Below are 17,726 nucleotides of genomic sequence, written 5' to 3'. Positions count from 1 at the left end.
AGAGGCAGCACAGTAAGGTGGTTCAAGAAGAGAGTTTGGGATCAGGAATCCCTGGGTTCAGATTAGTTATAGTGCTATGAGTTTAGACAACTGATAAAGTCTTTCTGTGCCTTGGTTTCTATAAAATCATAGGGAAATACTTGTTATGAGATTTAAGTAGTGTAATTCATGTAAAGCAGTCAGCACTGAGCCTGGAACTTGAGTACAATGCATGGAGCCCCCTCCTGACTGTGTGCTGGGCATTAAGTGCCAGGGACTAGGTGTTCATGAGTGTGTAAAACATGCTCTTTCCTCACCTACTGCACCTCTAAAAGAATAGGCAGCTCCATTGTGAATTGTCTCCTGTTATAGGAAATTATATCTAAGAATTAATGTGATGCCTCCTAATTCTACAATTCTCAAACAGATCTCCAATCTTAAAATATATTCCATTTTTTTCAATACCTAATGGACATGTTTTTAAAACAATAAATGGTCTCTAAGATCTCTTCCAACAAAAAAACTTTGAAACTTGACTTTAAACCCTCCTACTAGCAGAATCCAGAAATTGCATTTATGGTTACTGAGTCACTTCCTTGAAAGAAGTACTTTCAGTTTCATTAGGCTCTGAAGCCATTACAAAGGTTGCTTAACTTCTAATTATTTGATCACTGAGGAAAATCCAGAAAGCTACACAACACTGAAGGGGTGAAATAAAAGTCCAGCGATCCAGCGAAAGAAAAGAGAAGTGACAGAAACAACTTTACCTGGACTGAAGATAAAAGCACAGGTAAGAACTCCTATTGCTTCCTCTCCAGCTCTGAAGTACCTCAGCTCAGGGACGTGGAGCCTATAACGTTGTGGCAAGGATGGGAAGGAATTTATAAGTCAGTTCATTTTCTTAAAAATGACCAGGACCAAATTAGGCTGCAGCTGAGCCTGATGTGAGACACAGGTCAGATAAAATCATGGTGTTATCAGAAGTACCATGGCTCTAAGTGCCACTACAGTGCTTGTGTTGAATTAGGCACCAGCAGACAGCAACTAAACTGAGAGTTTGAAATGCACTAGGATAGTCTTTCTCTTTGTTGACATTGTCTGTGTTGACTAGGGACATGATTACATTTCCATTGTCAGTGATGGAGCTTGCTGAATCCTGCTCCTATGCAGCTAAGAAATGGAAAGAGCTACAAATGGGTTCTTTTCACCAGAAGGAAAGAACAGCAAAGGTAATGCAGAGTACTAGCAGCCCACTGACACGGTTATAGACAAAGAAAAAACTGAAACCCAGCATCAAAGAGGAACATTCATGAAAACAGTATACTTTTTATTACACATTTGAACTTTGTTTCAGATTGTTTCTCTAGAAATAATCCAGGCTAAAGAGCTTCCTCTCCTTTTTTTTCTTCTTTTTTTTTTTTGAGAGAGAGAGAGGGCGGTGGCCTAGTTTTTCCTCTGGAGAATTTACAGGAGAATTTCCTGTAATGCATCACTACTAAAGCCGGTATCTTTGCTTACTTTAACCTCTCCCACGCACTCAGACGACTTAGATCCCACCTTCTGAAAACTCCTCCCCTGAATTCCTTGGCAAAACACTAGCTTCACTCATCACCTTGTCTGACATCTCCCTTGCTGGCACTTTCTCTCTCTCTCTCTCTCTCTCTCTCTCTCTCTCTCTCTCTCTCATCTTTCCAGCCCTTTCTCCTCGTCCTCCTCACTTCTATTTCTCCTCTTCCCATTTCTCTTTCTCCTACTCTACAAAATGGAAAAACAGAACAAAACAGAAAACCTAAAGCTGTATTGCTGGAAATTTATTTTCTTTTCACATCTTCCCATGTAGCTCTCTTTATGTGCTTCCTGGTCTTTCAGTCCTTATTTCATGGGGTTTTTTGTTGTTGCTGTTGTTTGTTTGGTTTGGTTTTTTTGGGGTGTGTGTGTGTGTGTGTGTGTGTGTGTGTGTGTGCGCGCGCGCGCATGCGTGTTTCTTAGCAACATTCAGTATTGGCAGTTTTGCATTTATACCCACACTGAGTTAGAGGCTACCTTATCATGACGCTAATGAAGCTTAAGTTTCAGGGCCCCTCTCTTGCACGTGCCCCTTCAAAGCCCTTGGAAAGGTCCCTAGCCATGTGTTTCACATGGTTATGTAGTTGTATAGAATTTGCAAAAGTATGTTACATTGGTTCCACTTCCAGAATGGCACTGTGAGAAGTTTTGTGGATCCTCATTACAGTGAAATAAGCATAACCAGTTGAAAATGGAGGAAGGAACACATTTATAAATCTCTGGAAATTGTCCTAAGGGCATATGTCAAACAATGAAACATTTACTCATGGGGGTCTTTATTCATCATAAGAATTCATGAATAAACAAATCAATATTTAATTTCTTACATATAGCCAGGATGTAAAAAAAATTCTCTATATCCTATTTTATCTTCCATTTATTGTCTAGTGTAAATTTTTTAATGAGAATCCAAGGGAAGCTTTTCCATAATAAATTAAATGAAAGTTCTAGGTTGCAAGAGTAGTTGACTGTTGATAAGTTACTGTCATACCAATATTTAATTTGATGATAATACTTCCATAATTTTTTAAAATGATACACATTTTCCCTCATCTCTCTCACTGACACACACAAAACTTTTGGCCATCCTGGGGAATTCTGTGACTCTATCCTCTAAATGCAAAAGACTGGAAATTCTAATTCATTCCAACTCTTCCCTTGCAGACAAGAGAACAATGCCCTGGACATGGCTCCAGAGATCCACATGACAGGCCCAATGTGCCTCATTGAGAACACTAATGGGGAACTGGTGGCGAATCCAGAAGCTCTGAAAATCCTGTCTGCCATTACACAGCCTGTGGTGGTGGTGGCAATTGTGGGCCTCTACCGCACAGGAAAATCCTACCTGATGAACAAGCTAGCTGGGAAGAATAAGGGTGAGTGGCATGAGCAAAGCTCTGCCAAGTCCCTTCTGTCCCCCAACACAGTCAGCATCCATTATGAGGATGTGAGGAGAGAAAGCTGGCACTGGGAATAAGCTAACTTTCCATTCACAGTTGGGCTCCTTATCTTCACTCTTCTAGGGGATAAGCATCAGCTCACAGCTGTTCTGAGGGTAGTGAGTTATCTCAATTGACTGTTCACCATGAGTTACAGTTGAACTCCTTGTTCTACTCTTTCTCCTCACCCTTCTCACTACTGACTGCACTTGACTAGTCTTTTTTTTTCTTGAGACAAGGTCTTGCTCTTTCCCCAGGCTGGAGTACAGTGGCAAGATCTCAGCTCACCACAGTCTTGACTTCCTGGGCTCAAGCAATCCTCTCACCTCAGCCTCCTGAGTAGGTAGGACTACAGATGCATGCCACCACACCCAGCTAATTTTGTATTTTTGGTAGACACAGGGTTTCATCATGTTGCCCATGCAGGTCTCAAGCTCCTGGGCTCAAGAGATCGCCTGCCCATGTTCACATAGTAACAGCAAGTTTACACTGATCTTTAAGGTTGAAAAAATGTTTCAGTCTGTATTGGATTTTCTTGTTTATTGTTTTAAAAAATATATAAACATAAAATTTATCCTTGTAACCATTATTAAGTATGTAGTTCTGTGGTATTAATTAAATTCAAATTGTTGTGCAACCATCACTACCATCTATTTCCAGAACTTTTTAATCTTCCCCAAAAGAAACTCTGTGCCAATTAAACAAAAGCCCCACCTACACCCATCTCCTGCCACAATTCTACATTCCATCTCTATTAATTTGACTACTCTAGGAATGTTATATAAGTGGAGTCATTCAATATTTGTCCTTTGGTGACTGGCTTATTCTAATTCACATAATGTCTTCAAGGTTCAGTGTGGTAGCATGTGTCAAAATTTTTCCTTTTTGGCTGGGCACTCATGGCTGTAATCCCAGCACTTTGGGAGGCCAATGCAGGCAGATCACCTGAGGTCGGGAGTTCAAGACTAGCCTGACCAACATGGAGAAACCCCGTCTTTACTAAAAATACAAAATTAGCTGGGCATGGTGGCACATGCCTGTAATCCCAGCTACTCAGGAGGCTGGGGCAGGAGAATCACTTGAATCTGGGAAACAGAGGTTGCGGTGAGCCAAGATCGTGCCTTTGCACTCCAGCCTGGGCATAGAGCGAAACTCCATCTCAAAAATAAATAAAGAAATAAAAAATTCTTCCTTTTCAAGGCTAAGTAATTATATGTGTATACTAATTTATCTGTTCGCTTGTCAGTTGACACTTGGGTTGCTTACACCTTTTGGCTATTACAAATAATGCTGATAGGATCATGGGTGTCTGAATATCTGTTCGAGTCCCTGCTTTCACTCCTTTTCAGTATACACCCAGAAGTGGAACTGATGGCTCATATAGTCATTCCATGTTAAATTTTTTAAGGAATTGCTGTATCATTTTCCACAGTGACTGCACCATTTAGCATTCCCAACAGAAATGCACAAGGGTTCTAATTTCTCTTCATATTCACCAACATTTGTTATTTATTGCGGGATCTGGCCAGCAGCCTGCAATGCAACGGGGCTCTCTCTTTGTTCCCAGGCAGACCGGCAGGTCGAGAAATAATAGATACACACAAGATAGTGAAAGCTGGGTCCAGGGGGGTCACAGCCTTCTGGTCCCGTGGTGCTGCCAATGCACTGGATATGCCAGCATTTATTATTAAGTTTAGTGAGGGTGGGGGAAGGTTAGTGAGGGATTTAGGGTCGTTTGATTATGAGGTGAGATGGTCACATGGGGATGAAGTAATTCTTTAACATAACATCTGTATGCAGAAGTACAGTATACAGAGATAAGAATTTACAATATAGTGTGTGCATCAGTAATTTCTAACAGAGCCTTAAAACAGAAATGCAGTCTTTCATAACCTATGATTAGCAAGATATTAATCAGCAGTAACAGTTGCAGCAAAAGCTGGTTACAAACAATCCATAGAAACAAGACGTGAAGCTAGACAACCGGTTAGACCAGAAATTCTCAGAAGGGAGTATGCCTTAACCCTAAAGAGGCCTAGAAGAGCCATGGCAAGATGAATGCGTTTATGGCCCTATCTTATCCACATGGACAGGTGCCCCCTCTCTCCACAAGGGTCTCATTCCATTCCCAGAGCTATGAACATCTGCTTTTCTGGGATAGGAATCTTGGTGATGTGAAACCTCCCTGACTGCACATCCATTCATAGGCTCTCTGCAGGGGGAAGCACATCACGTCCCGTTGGCTCATTCTGGCAGTCCAACCTGGCACTGTCTTTGCACAATCCTGCATGCAATTTTGTATTTACAATAATCAGGAGCATTTCATCTTTTATTCCATAGCAATAGTTTCACGGGGTCTCCCTACAGTTATTTTAATTTTTTTTTTTTTTGAGACACAGTCTCACTCTGTCACCCAGGCTGGAGTGCAGTGGCACGACCCCAGCTCACTGCAACCTCCACCTCCCGGGTTCAAGCGATTCTCCTACCTCAGCCTCCCAAGTAGGTGAGATTACAGGCACCTGCCACCATGCATGGCTCAGTTTTGTATTTTTAGTGTAAATGGGGTTTCTCCATATTTGCCAGGCCGGTCTCAAACTCCTGACCTCAGGTGATCCACCTGCCTCAGCCTCCCAAAGTGCTGGGATTTCAGGCTTGAGCCACTGCACCCAGCCCTTTTCAATTTTTTTTGATAGTCACCATACTAATGGATGTGAAGTAGTATCTCACTATGGCTTTAATTTGCATTTTCCTAATGACTAGTAATGTTGAGCATCTTTTCAGGTGCTTATTGGCCATTCTTTAGAGAAATGTCTATTCAAGTTCTTTCTTTACTTTTTAATCTGTTTGTGTTGCATTGTAGGAATTCTTTATATTTGCTAGACATCAATTCCTTATCAGATACACGTTTAGCAAATGTTTTCTTCCATTCCATGTGTTGCCTTTTTATTCTGTTGATAGTGTCATTTGATGCACAAAAGTTTTTCATTTTGATGAAGTCAAAGTTATCTGTTTTTCCTTTTACTGTCTGTTTTTCCCCTTTGTTTTCTCCCATGAGTTTTATAGTTTTAGCTCTAATGGTTAGTTCTTTGATCCATTTTGAGTTACGTTTTGGATTGTGTAAGCTAACAGTCCAACTTTTTTTTTTTTTTTGGCATGTGAGCATGTGAATATCCAGTTTTCCCAATGTCATTTGTTGTAGAGACTCCTCTTTCTGCGTTGAATGATTTTAGCATCCATGTTGAAAATTTTTTGACTATAGATGTGAGAGTTCATTTCTAGGCTCTCTACTTTACTCCATTAGTTGATAACAGTGTTTAAGCCAATACCAAACTGTGTTGATTATCCTGATTTTGTAGTAAGTTTCAGAACTCAGAAACTGTGAGCCTCTGACTTTCTTCTTCCTTTTTGAGATTATTTTGACAATTTGGGGATCTCTTGAAATTTCATATGAAAGTTAGTGTGGATATTTTTGATGTTTTTATTTATAAAAAAATCATTGGAATTTTGATAGGGATTGCATTGAATCTGTATGTCACTTTTACAGGATGTCTTTCTAATTATTTAACTCTTCCTTAATTTCTTTTAAGAATGTTTGGCCAAGCACAGTGGTTCACACCTGTAATCCCAGCACTTTGAGAAGCTGAGGCCAGCAGATCACTTGAGCTCAAGAATTTGAGACCAACTTGGACAACACGGGGAAACCCCATCTCTACAAAATATACAAAAATTAGACAGGCCTGGTGTCACGTGCCTGTAGTCTCAGCTACTCGGGAGGCTGAGGTGGGAGTATTGCTTGAGCCTGGGAGGTCAAGACTACAGTGATCAGTGATCACAGTCTAGCCTGGATGACACCGTGAGACTCTGTCTCCAAAAAAAAAAAATTTTGTAATTTTCATTATACAAGTCATTCCCCTCTATGGTTACGTTTTTTGGGTTTTTTGTTTGTTTGTTTTGTGACAGTCTTGCTGTGTCACCAGCCTGGAGTGCAGTGGCACAATCTCGGCTCACTGCAACCTCCACCTCCTGGGTTCAGGCAATTCTCATGCCTCAGCCACCCGAGTAGCTGGGATTACAGGTGCCCGCCACCACACCCAGCTAATTTTGTGTGTGTGTGTGTGTGTAGTTTTAGTAGAGACAGGGTTTCACCACATTGGCCAGATGGTCTCGATCTGCTGACCTTGTGATCACCTGCCTCAGCCTCCCAAAGTGCTGGGATTACAGGCGTGAGCCACTGTGCCTGGCCAATTTTATTCTGAAGTAGTTTGCCCTTTTGGTGGTATGTTAAATGGGATTGCTTTCAAAATTTCCTTTGTGGATTGTTCTTTGCTACTGTATACAAATGCAACAGATTTCTGCATGTTAATTTTGTATGCTGCAACTTTGCTGAATTCTTTTTATTAGTTCTAACAGTTCTGTGTAATATTTAAAGTTTTCTGCAGAGATCATATCATCAGTAAATAGAGATTATTTTACATCTTCCTTTCCAATTTAGATGCTTTCTGTTTCCTTTTCTCACCTAATTACTCTGGATAGGACCTCTAGTACTTTGTGGAAAAGAAGTGGCAAAAGTGGGCATCTTTTCCTTGTTCCCATATTAGAGGAAAATTTTCAGTCTTCACCATTGAGTATGAAGCAGGCTGTGGATTTTTCATGTATGTCCTTTGTTTTGTTGAGGTAATTTTTTTCTGTTTCTCTATCCCTCTTTTTTTTTTTTTTTTTTTTTTAAGACAAGAGTCTCGCTCTGTTGCCCAGGCTGGAGTGCAGTGGTGCTATCTCAGCTCACTGCAACCTCCGCCTCCTGGGTTCAAGTGATTCTCCTTCCTCAGTTTTTTTCTATTTCTAATTTGTTGATTGTTTTTATCATGAAAGGTCCTGAATCCATTTATGTACTGGATATTCAAATTTTTCTATTTTTCTGATTATAAGTAACGTAAGTACTGATTGTGGTTTTGGTTATCTCTCTTAACATTAATCATGATGCTACATTTGCCTCAATTTCCTGAAGTACCTGCTATTAAACCTCCAGCCCTTCTTATCCCATCTCTCCTTTACAGGCTTCTCTCTGGGCTCCACAGTGAAATCTCACACCAAAGGAATCTGGATGTGGTGTGTGCCTCACCCCAAAAAGCCAGAACACACCTTAGTCCTGCTTGACACTGAGGGCCTGGGAGATGTAAAGAAGGTAAGGGTCAAAGATTCAATTTTGAAATAAGCCCCTCATCTCTGAATATTTTAAGCACCATTTAGTTTTTTCTTAAAGAAGAGTTTGCATTTAACTATAATTTGTCTTTTCATTTCTGTGTACATGTCATAAGGCCAAACTTAGCAACCAGAAGTGAGAAAAATATTCATAAGACAGAATCCTAGCAAAGCATGGTGGTCAACACACAGTATTCTACTAACCATAGGTTGTAAGCTATGTGAGTTAACACAGATGCATAAAGGGAGCACAAATAAATCCAATGTCACGAGTCCTATCCTGCAAAGAACTTATAATTCAGTAGCCTGAGCAAGTTTAAATTATACTTCAGGCCTTAGAATGCCCATTAACCTTGAATGTTTATTTTGCAATTGTCTGCCAATGATCATAAGAGGACCTGGTGAGAATCAGTGTATACCAAAAAACACTAATCAAAAAACTATACACATTCCACAGCTGAGTAACAATCATTTTGTTTGGATTTGGGTTCTTTTCATAGGTCATTAGTCTTAAAAGAAAACTCTAACTTATGATATACTTTTACTACTGTCACTCTGGAAAGTGCTGTGATGATGAAACTTGCTCCTGACTCCAGTGTGTCTTGACTTCCAGGGTGACAACCAGAATGACTCCTGGATCTTCACCCTGGCCGTCCTCCTGAGCAGCACTCTCGTGTACAATAGCATGGGAACCATCAACCAGCAGGCTATGGACCAACTGTAGTATCCTTTTGTGACCCAGAACAGCACCAAGGTCAGAGGGGACACCTGTATTCATAAACCAGCTGCCTGACTGTGAATCCTGATGAATCAAGCTCAAAAGGAGAAAACAAAAAATAATGCAAGTACAGAGGAGAGATCCCATGTATCCACTTTAGAATTGACACTTAGGTTAGGATCAAAGGAAAATGGAAGGTTTGGGAATGTGTTGAACTAATATGGGATGAGGTTCCTGTTCATTTTGTCACATTTCCTTAGTTAGCTACTCAGCTATGTGACAGAGCTGACACATCGAATCCGATCAAAATCCTCACCTGATGAGAATGAGAATGAGGATTCAGCTGACTTTGTGAGCTTCTTCCCAGATTTTGTGTGGACACTGAGAGATTTCTCCCTGGACTTGGAAGCAGATGGACAACCCCTCACACCAGATGAGTACCTGGAGTATTCCCTGAAGCTAACGCAAGGTAACAGAGACGTACCATTGATAAATGAGGACGACAAAACACTAGAAATTATCATTTTTTAGTTTACTATTGATAGTTTTCTCACATTTACAGTTTTCTATATCTCTAGCTTGCTATTCTTAAGAATTAATGCTTGCTATTAGCAATAGAAAAGGTTTTTTGAAAAAAGGAAAAAAGGAATGAATGCTTGCTGAATATCTAAATTAATAGATTAGATTTTAAATTATATTCTCCTGTGTTCTAAAATAAGTTTCTTTTTCTTTCATTTTTTCCTATTTTACAATTTAGGTAAATTTTATCTCCTTATGTAGGGTTCGTGATTCTGTATTTACCTGTAAAATATGAAGGACAATGGATATTTACTTAAAGAACATAGATTGAACATGAACAGTGTACTAGTCCAAATGCTGGCGAACTGCAGCCTAAGACAAATGATGGCCAATTCTGCCTGCCAGCTGTCTTTCTAAGTGAGGTTTTTTGGGAAGAATGCTATGCCCATTCATTTACATATTGTCTAAAGCTGTTGTCATGCTCCAATAACAAAGTTGAGTACTTGGAAAAGAGACCACCTAGCCTGCAGAGCCTAAAATATTTACTATTTGACGCTTTACGGAAACACTTATATTAGGCAAATTTCTTTATTATGTTTCTCTAGGTACCAGTCAAAAAGATAAAAATTTTAATCTGCCCCGACTCTGTATCCGGAAGTTCTTCCCAAAGAAAAAATGTTTTGTCTTCGATCTGCCCATTCACCGCAGGAAGCTTGCCCAGCTTGAGAAACTACAAGATGAAGAGCTGGACCCTGAATTTGTGCAACAAGTAGCAGACTTCTGTTCCTACATCTTTAGCAATTCCAAAACTAAAACTCTTTCAGGAGGCATCAAGGTCAATGGGCCTCGTAAGTCCCCTTCGTAGTACTTCCACTCATTGTTAAAACTAAAGGATGGCCAGGCATGATGGTTCATGCCTGTAATCCCAGCACTTTGGGAGGCCGAGGAGGGCAGATCACTTGAGGCCAGGAGTTTGAGACCAACCTAGCCCACATGGCAAAACCATGTCTCTACTAAAAATACAAAAATAAATGAGGCATGGTGGCACATACCTGTAATCCCAGCTACTTGGGAGGCTGAGGCAGGAGAATTGCTTGAACCTGGGAGGCAGAGGTTGCAGTGAGACGAGATCACGCCACTGCACTCCAGCCTGGGTGACAGAGGAAAAAAAAAATATGAAAGGAGCATAGAATAACTCCACCTAGTATCAGCATTGAAAAATCCCAATCTACTGCTACATTTGTGCTAAATTCTAGATGACACCAACATTTCTAATAGATTTTGTTGGTCAACCTTCTTGGTGGGAAAAGATAGGAAAAGCAAAGGAAAAAAGTTTTATTACTTAAAATTGCCACAGTAAACTGGGCCTGCACTGTACAGTACAGTAGCCACTAGACAAGTGGGGCTATCTAAATGTAAATGTAAATTAATTAAAATAAGGAAAAATTAAAGGTCAATTCACATGGCTATATTTCAAAGGCTTATATTTACATGTACTTAGTGGCTAGCATACTGAACAGCACATACAGAACACTTCCACCATTACAGAAAGTTTTCTTGGACAATGCTGTGCTAAAATAAACCAAACGGAGGGCTCCTTTTGATTAGGAGAGTATCATTTGTTCCATAAGTATTGATCAAATGCTACTGTGAATAAGCTGAGGATACAGTCATATATGGAATAGCTATGGGTTCCTTTCCTGATGGTGCTTGGGGTTGAAATGGATGCAAACATTCAACTAACACAGGACTAGGTCATCTAGAACAAGGATTCTCAAATGTTGATATGCATACATATCATCTAGGGATCTTACCCAAAGAAAAAACTCTAATTCAGTAGATCTGGGACAGAGGCTAACAATAGGCATTTCCAGCAAGCTTCCAGATGATTCTGAGGACCTTGATGCTGTGAGGAAAATAGGTGGAAATTGACATGTTCAGAATTACACAGAATAGAGAGTTTTCTTTAGTACAAGAAACATTATCATTTCTTCTTTGTATGTAGGTCTAGAGAGCCTAGTGCTGACCTATATCAATGCTATCAGCAGAGGGGATCTGCCCTGCATGGAGAACGCAGTCCTGGCCTTGGCCCAGATAGAGAACTCAGCCGCAGTGCAAAAGGCTATTGCCCACTATGACCAGCAGATGGGCCAGAAGGTGCAGCTGCCCGCAGAAACCCTCCAGGAGCTGCTGGACCTGCACAGGGTTAGTGAGAGGGAGGCCACTGAAGTCTATATGAAGAACTCTTTCAAGGATGTGGACCATCTGTTTCAAAAGAAATTAGCGGTAATTTTTCTATCACATTTACATGGATTTGGATTTTGGAAGGCAAAGTACTACTAAGAAATGAAATTGGTATTTATTTTGAGACAAATAATTATTCTAGATTTTAAAATGGTGACAACTAGTTCTTGGTAATCATAATAATCAGACAAAAACAATTTTATTACTTCAGACTCAAAGTTTAAAAACATTGCTTATCAATAAATGGTCTTCCCTTTATTAAATTCATATAACTGACAATCAGGGCTTCTAATCAAATTACATGCCCACTCTTCTCAGACTGATTTGATATTCTAGCCAAATGCAAAGAAAATTTTCATCTTAGTTATCTTGAGCAGGCTTCTGTTCAGCCACATTTATTCCATATGAAATCATTAGTCCAATATGCAAAAGCAGAGCTTTCCTCTAACAGTTGACATAAAGCTGTCAATCTCAGCCCTGAACCTCACCTCTAAAGAGAAAGCGATTTCAGTAGAAAGTGGGGTCAGGAGTAAGAGCGTGGTCCTGCTGAGGAGTCTGTCAGTTTCTCCGGCATCATTGACTGTTTATTTTCGGAAGTCTTTCCCAAAATTCTGAGGTCAAGCTAACATCCTTTCCCTGTTACTCTTTTTACTTCCTATTTTTACATTAAAGGCCCAGCTAGACAAAAAGCGGGATGACTTTTGTAAACAGAATCAAGAAGCATCATCAGATCGTTGCTCAGCTTTACTTCAGGTCATTTTCAGTCCTCTAGAAGAAGAAGTGAAGGCGGGAATTTATTCGAAACCAGGGGGCTATTGTCTCTTTATTCAGAAGCTACAAGACCTGGAGAAAAAGTACTATGAGGAACCAAGGAAGGGGATACAGGTAACCAAGATTCATCTGTCGATTATGGAAACCTGCTGACCTACCTCCTACGAACACCAAAGTGACCAAGCTTCACTGCACACAGATGTGCTTTTTTGTCTGTATAACATTCATGCTTTCATTCAATAACATATGCAGGGAGGGAGACTGTTATATCAGGTATGTCCCAGGTGCTCATCAAAGAGAGTGCAGTCGGCGGGTGCGGTGGCTCAAGCCTGTAATCCTAACACTTTGAGGGCAGAGGCAGGCAGATTGCTTGAGCTCAGGAGTTTAAGACCAGCCTGAGCAACATGGTGAAACATGTCTCTAGTAAGAATATAAAAATTAGCTGGGCACTGTTGCACATGCCTGTAGTCCCAGCTACTCAGAAGGCTGAGGCAGGAGAATTGCTTGAGCCCGGGAGGTTCAGTGAGCCAAGATTGCACCTCAGCACTCTGGCCTGGGCAACAGAGCCAGACCCTGTCTTTCAAATACTAGTTAACTAGGCCGGGCGCAGTGGCTCACGCCTGTAATCCCAGCACTTTGGGAGGCTGAGGCAGGCAGATCACAAGGTCAGGAGATCAAGACCATCCTGGCCAACATGGTGAAACCCCGTCTCTACTAAAAATACAAAAATTAGCTGAGCGTGGTGGCAGGCGCCTGTAATTCCAGCTACTCAGGAGGCTGAGGCAGGAGAATCACTTGAACCCAGGAGGCGGAGGTTGCAGTGTGCCAAGATCACGCCACTGCACTCCAGCCTGGCAATAGAGCAAGACTCTGTCTCAAAAAAAAAAAAAAAATTAGTTAATTAATTAGAGAGTGCAGTCAATTAACTATTGAGTTATAAATTCAATTATCAGATTAACCACCACGTTGTTGTCATGATCATTACAGCTGGATTTTTTTCTGTTCCAAGAGACAGAAACCCAATGATGGTTGCTTAAAAAAAATGGTAATTCATCGTTTTAGGTTTCAAACTGGATTTAAAGGACATCTGGATCCAAGATTTCAAATAATGTCATGATCTGTCTCTCTGCCTGATATCCTCCCTGCATCCCCACAGTTCTCTCCCTCTCTTCCTCCCTCTATCTGAATCACTCTGATTTGCTCTCTCAAGGAGGGCTTCATTCTCCAGTCAGCTCAGCCCATATGGAACCACAGCATCAAATTTAGAGCCCTCAATTTGAAAAGGACAGGGAATCTTATTTCCCAGTATCTGTATCATCCTCCTAAATAAGACTCTGCTAAGTAGGGTCATCTGATTGGCCAGCTTGGAGCATGTATCTGGCCCTGTGATAGGGAATCTTGACCACCAGGCACACCAGGGCCAAGAGGAAGAATTCTCAGAAGAAAAGATGGTGGGCAGAAGAACAGGAAAACCTGCTTACAGCCATTTCCTACTTCTCACTCTGTGTTCTCTGGGTCCTAAGGCTGAAGAGATTCTGCAGACATACTTGAAATCCAAGGAGTCTGTGACCGATGCAATTCTACAGACAGACCAGATTCTCACAGAAAAGGAAAAGGAGATTGAAGGTGAGGAGCAAGTCAAAGGATCAGATTATCCTAAAGCTTTTCAAATTTTAAATAATTTTTCAAATTTTAAAATTTTAAATAATTTGACTGGATAAACCTAAGTTCCATAAACTAAAGCAAGACATGTCTTACTTGTTGAGGTCATCTCTGAGTAGGGCATATGCAGTCAGCAGCAACAATGGAGGGTAAGTGTATAACTAAGAATGAGGCAACAAGATAACTCCACACAAATGTTTCTTCTTCCTCCACAGTGGAATGTGTAAAAGCTGAATCTGCACAGGCTTCAGCAAAAATGGTGGAGGAAATGCAAATAAAGTATCAGCAGATGATGGAAGAGAAAGAGAAGAGTTATCAAGAACATGTGAAACAATTGACTGAGAAGATGGAGAGGGAGAGGGCCCAGTTGCTGGAAGAGCAAGAGAAGACCCTCACTAGTAAACTTCAGGTATCCAAATGCATCACCTTGTGGTTCGTTTTTCTGTTTTCTCTCTGTTCTTCCTGATCACAAACTTAGTATGGCAGAGCGAACATAAAGCCCAGGGGAAGGATTTTGCTTGCTCACTTGTACTTTCTTGTTTCTGTCTGTCTGACTTGAAATGGCCACTGCCTACATGTGGTCACTAAAAGTTTATTTGCAGGGTGTCACATTCAGTCCCGTTTTAGTGTATCCTTCCACTTACGGCTGTCATATGCTAGGCATCATAAAAATGCCTTATCTATATCTCTTGCTTAATACCATATGAAGCGAGAACTTTATCCCTATTACTTAGGAGAGGAAACAGAGGTTCAGAAAATATTAAATAACTTTTATAGTGTCACACAGCTAGTAAATATCTGACCCATCTTCATCACTTAGTGGAATCCATAGTAATATTTTTTCTATCCCATCTAGTATGACTTTGGCTCTAAGAGAACTTTTATGAGCAGAAGGACTCCCTAACCCTCACACCTGTAGGGCAGTCTACCACTCCTGCCTGTTTTCTGTGCCCTACTCACAGTTTGTGTTGAGTTGGGAGCTATGTGCAGAAATTCTATATGGTAAGTCTGGCACTCGGATTTCCTTGCCTATCTTCTGCTACCCCTGCCAACAGGGAGTAGAGACTTAGATCAAATTTCCTGATCTAAGATTCATATACCTAATCAGATTTTGAGAGTAACTTATCTCTGTATTATGTGTATATAATAATAATATGTGTGTAGGTAGGTGTGTTAAAAAGTCTATAATGCATAGGGAAGATTTGAAGTCAAATATATTGTTAAGATTTCCCACAAAGGTTTTGTATAATTAATAGGGGGAAAAAAGCAAGACCTTCATCAATAGAGCAGAAGGCATACGCTGAAACTCTTTTGGCTATAGAAAACCCAGGAGAAATAATCACACAGCCCAAATGCCCAGAAAAACTATAATTAAAATCAAGGGTAGAGAAAATTTCAAGAAAAAAACTAAGTACTAAATAAATCAATGCATGTGGAAACTAGATAGCTTACAGAGATTTACTTAATGCTACACTTATTTAGCCTCCATTTGTCCCTTTTTAGGAACAGGCCCGAGTACTAAAGGAGAGATGCCAAGGTGAAAGTACCCAACTTCAAAATGAGATACAAAAGCTACAGAAGACCCTGAAAAAAAAAACCAAGAGATATATGTCGCATAAGCTAAAGATCTAAACAACAGAGCTTTTCTGTCATCCTAACCCAAGGCATAACTGAAACAATTTTAGAATTTGGAACAAGTGTCACTATATTTGATAATAATTAGATCTTGCATCATAACACTAAAAGTTTACAAGAACATGCAGTTCAATGATCAAAATCATGTTTTTTCCTTAAAAAGATTGTAAATTGTGCAACAAAGATGCATTTACCTCTGTACCAACAGAGGAGGGATCATGAGTTGCCACCACTCAGAAGTTTATTCTTCCAGACGACCAGTGGATACTGAGGAAAGTCTTAGGTAAAAATCTTGGGACATATTTGGGCACTGGTTTGGCCAAGTGTACAATGGGTCCCAATATCAGAAACAACCATCCTAGCTTCCTAGGGAAGACAGTGTACAGTTCTCCATTATATCAAGGCTACAAGGTCTATGAGCAATAATGTGATTTCTGGACATTGCCCATGGATAATTCTCACTGATGGATCTCAAGCTAAAGCAAACCATCTTATACAGAGATCTAGAATCTTATATTTTCCATAGGAAGGTAAAGAAATCATTAGCAAGAGTAGGAATTGAATCATAAACAAATTGGCTAATGAAGAAATCTTTTCTTTCTTGTTCAATTCATCTAGATTATAACCTTAATGTGACACCTGAGACCTTTAGACAGTTGACCCTGAATTAAATAGTCACATGGTAACAATTATGCACTGTGTAATTTTAGTAATGTATAACATGCAATGATGCACTTTAACTGAAGATAGAGACTATGTTAGAAAATTGAACTAATTTAATTATTTGATTGTTTTAATCCTAAAGCATAAGTTAGTCTTTTCCTGATTCTTAAAGGTCATACTTGAAATCCTGCCAATTTTCCCCAAAGGGAATATGGAATTTTTTTGACTTTCTTTTGAGCAATAAAATAATTGTCTTGCCATTACTTAGTATATGTAGACTTCATCCCAATTGTCAAACATCCTAGGTAAGTGGTTGACATTTCTTACAGCAATTACAGATTATTTTTGAACTAGAAATAAACTAAACTAGAAATAAAATAAGTTTCACTAGTTTTTTTATTTCCATTTTTTTTTTTTTAGTTTTTCACCAAATAATAAGGTTTGAGTCTTTATAGCAGTGGTTGGCTAACTTTTCTGTAAAATACCAGATAGTGATTATTTATGGCTTTGCAGGTCAACTGTCTCAACTACTAAACTCTGCATACAGTACAAATGCAGCCATAGACAATACATAAGTAAATGGGTGGGGCTATGTGCCAATAACACTTAATTTTCAAAACCAGGTGGCACACACAAGCTATAGTTTGCAGACCTTTGTTTATAGAAACATTGGTCAAAGTTTCATTTTATATCTGCCTTATTTTACTTACATTTATAAGAATCATAAGGATTAGATTGTATATGTTAGAATCTTGAAATAATTATGTAGTGTTTCAAAATATTACACGATGAATCCCAAGAGGACCCACAGACCCTCTGAAGGAGGCAGACTGCTCCTGCAGGACCCAGGAAACACTCCAAATATTCTGACTGCCCCAACTGCAGAAGTGGGAAAGGGAGACCCTCCTCTCTGGAACACACACCCCCACTGGAGAAGCTGAAGGTTTGTGTGCAGGAGGAGTTTCCGACTTTACCTGAAGCTGAGTCAAGTTAGAGAGCCGAGCAAAATACAGGGGTAGAGGAAGCAGTTGGAAGGCCCTGGGAGCTCACTGTGTCCCCAGGCAGGCCATTCCTGCCTGGCACCACAGGGATCTATCGGGAGGTCAGCCAGAGGAGCAACAGGTAAAACTCCACAGAAAGAAGAAATTCTCCAACCAAACTTTGTAACAATTTGAATGGGGCGAGAAGCCTCCTGCCAGAACTCGGGGAGGGCACAAATCCAGCATGCAAACTTCACAGGCTGGTGAAGAACTAAAGTCCTTTTCTTTTTGGCTGAGCAGAAAGCCTCAGCCAAATTTTAAGCCCGCCCCTCTTGCCCTCTGCCTGGAAAC

At 40.2% G+C, this 17,726-nt stretch overlaps 1 protein-coding gene across 8 annotated transcripts, besides 1 other annotated feature; it reads left to right on the top strand.

The window, feature by feature from the left end:
- Window positions 1–1,200: an enhancer, noted in NCBI's record as "CDK7 strongly-dependent group 2 enhancer chr1:89487936-89489135 (GRCh37/hg19 assembly coordinates)". NCBI's record gives its function as "activates an origin of replication core promoter dependent on BRD2, BRD4, P300/CBP, MED14 and CDK7 cofactors, with strong dependence on CDK7, by STARR-seq in HCT116 cells {active_cell/tissue: HCT116}" and the evidence as "EXISTENCE:reporter gene assay evidence [ECO:0000049][PMID:35650434]".
- On the top strand, window positions 587–16,773 carry GBP3 (guanylate binding protein 3). 8 transcript variants are annotated; one of them, NM_001319179.2, is made up of 12 exons: window positions 587–769; window positions 2,710–2,921; window positions 3,242–3,327; window positions 8,039–8,166; window positions 8,797–8,906; window positions 9,174–9,370; window positions 10,026–10,268; window positions 11,426–11,706; window positions 12,337–12,549; window positions 13,959–14,061; window positions 14,313–14,506; window positions 15,601–16,773. In NM_001319179.2, the coding sequence occupies exons 4-12, from the start codon at window positions 8,086–8,088 to the stop codon at window positions 15,727–15,729; spliced, it is 1,551 nt and encodes a 516-aa protein (NP_001306108.1). In that variant the 5' UTR covers window positions 587–769; window positions 2,710–2,921; window positions 3,242–3,327; window positions 8,039–8,085; the 3' UTR covers window positions 15,730–16,773. The 8 variants fall into 8 exon arrangements, 7 of the variants coding, with proteins under 7 accessions (NP_001306108.1, NP_001423773.1, NP_060754.2 ...); NM_001436844.1 differs by lacking the exon at window positions 3,242–3,327 and having other exon boundaries at window positions 11,426–11,625; NM_018284.3 differs by lacking the exon at window positions 3,242–3,327.
- Window positions 16,774–17,726: the final 953 nt, after the last annotated feature.

The sequence above is a fragment of the Homo sapiens genome, chromosome 1, assembly GCF_000001405.40.
Source record: "Homo sapiens chromosome 1, GRCh38.p14 Primary Assembly".
Classification (NCBI taxonomy): domain Eukaryota; kingdom Metazoa; phylum Chordata; class Mammalia; order Primates; family Hominidae; genus Homo; species Homo sapiens.
This window is presented reverse-complemented; position numbering and strand designations above follow the sequence as displayed.

Bases quoted from the DNA above. Each gene is read 5' to 3' on its own strand.
- GBP3 (NM_018284.3), top strand. From the start codon at position 2,732: ATGGCTCCAGAGATCCACATGACAGGCCCAATGTGCCTCATTGAGAAC. The intron at 8,167-8,796 runs GTAAGGGTCAAA...CTTGACTTCCAG, and splicing joins GCCTGGGAGATGTAAAGAAG to GGTGACAACCAGAATGACTC. The intron at 9,371-10,025 runs GTAACAGAGACG...ATGTTTCTCTAG, and splicing joins TTCCCTGAAGCTAACGCAAG to GTACCAGTCAAAAAGATAAA.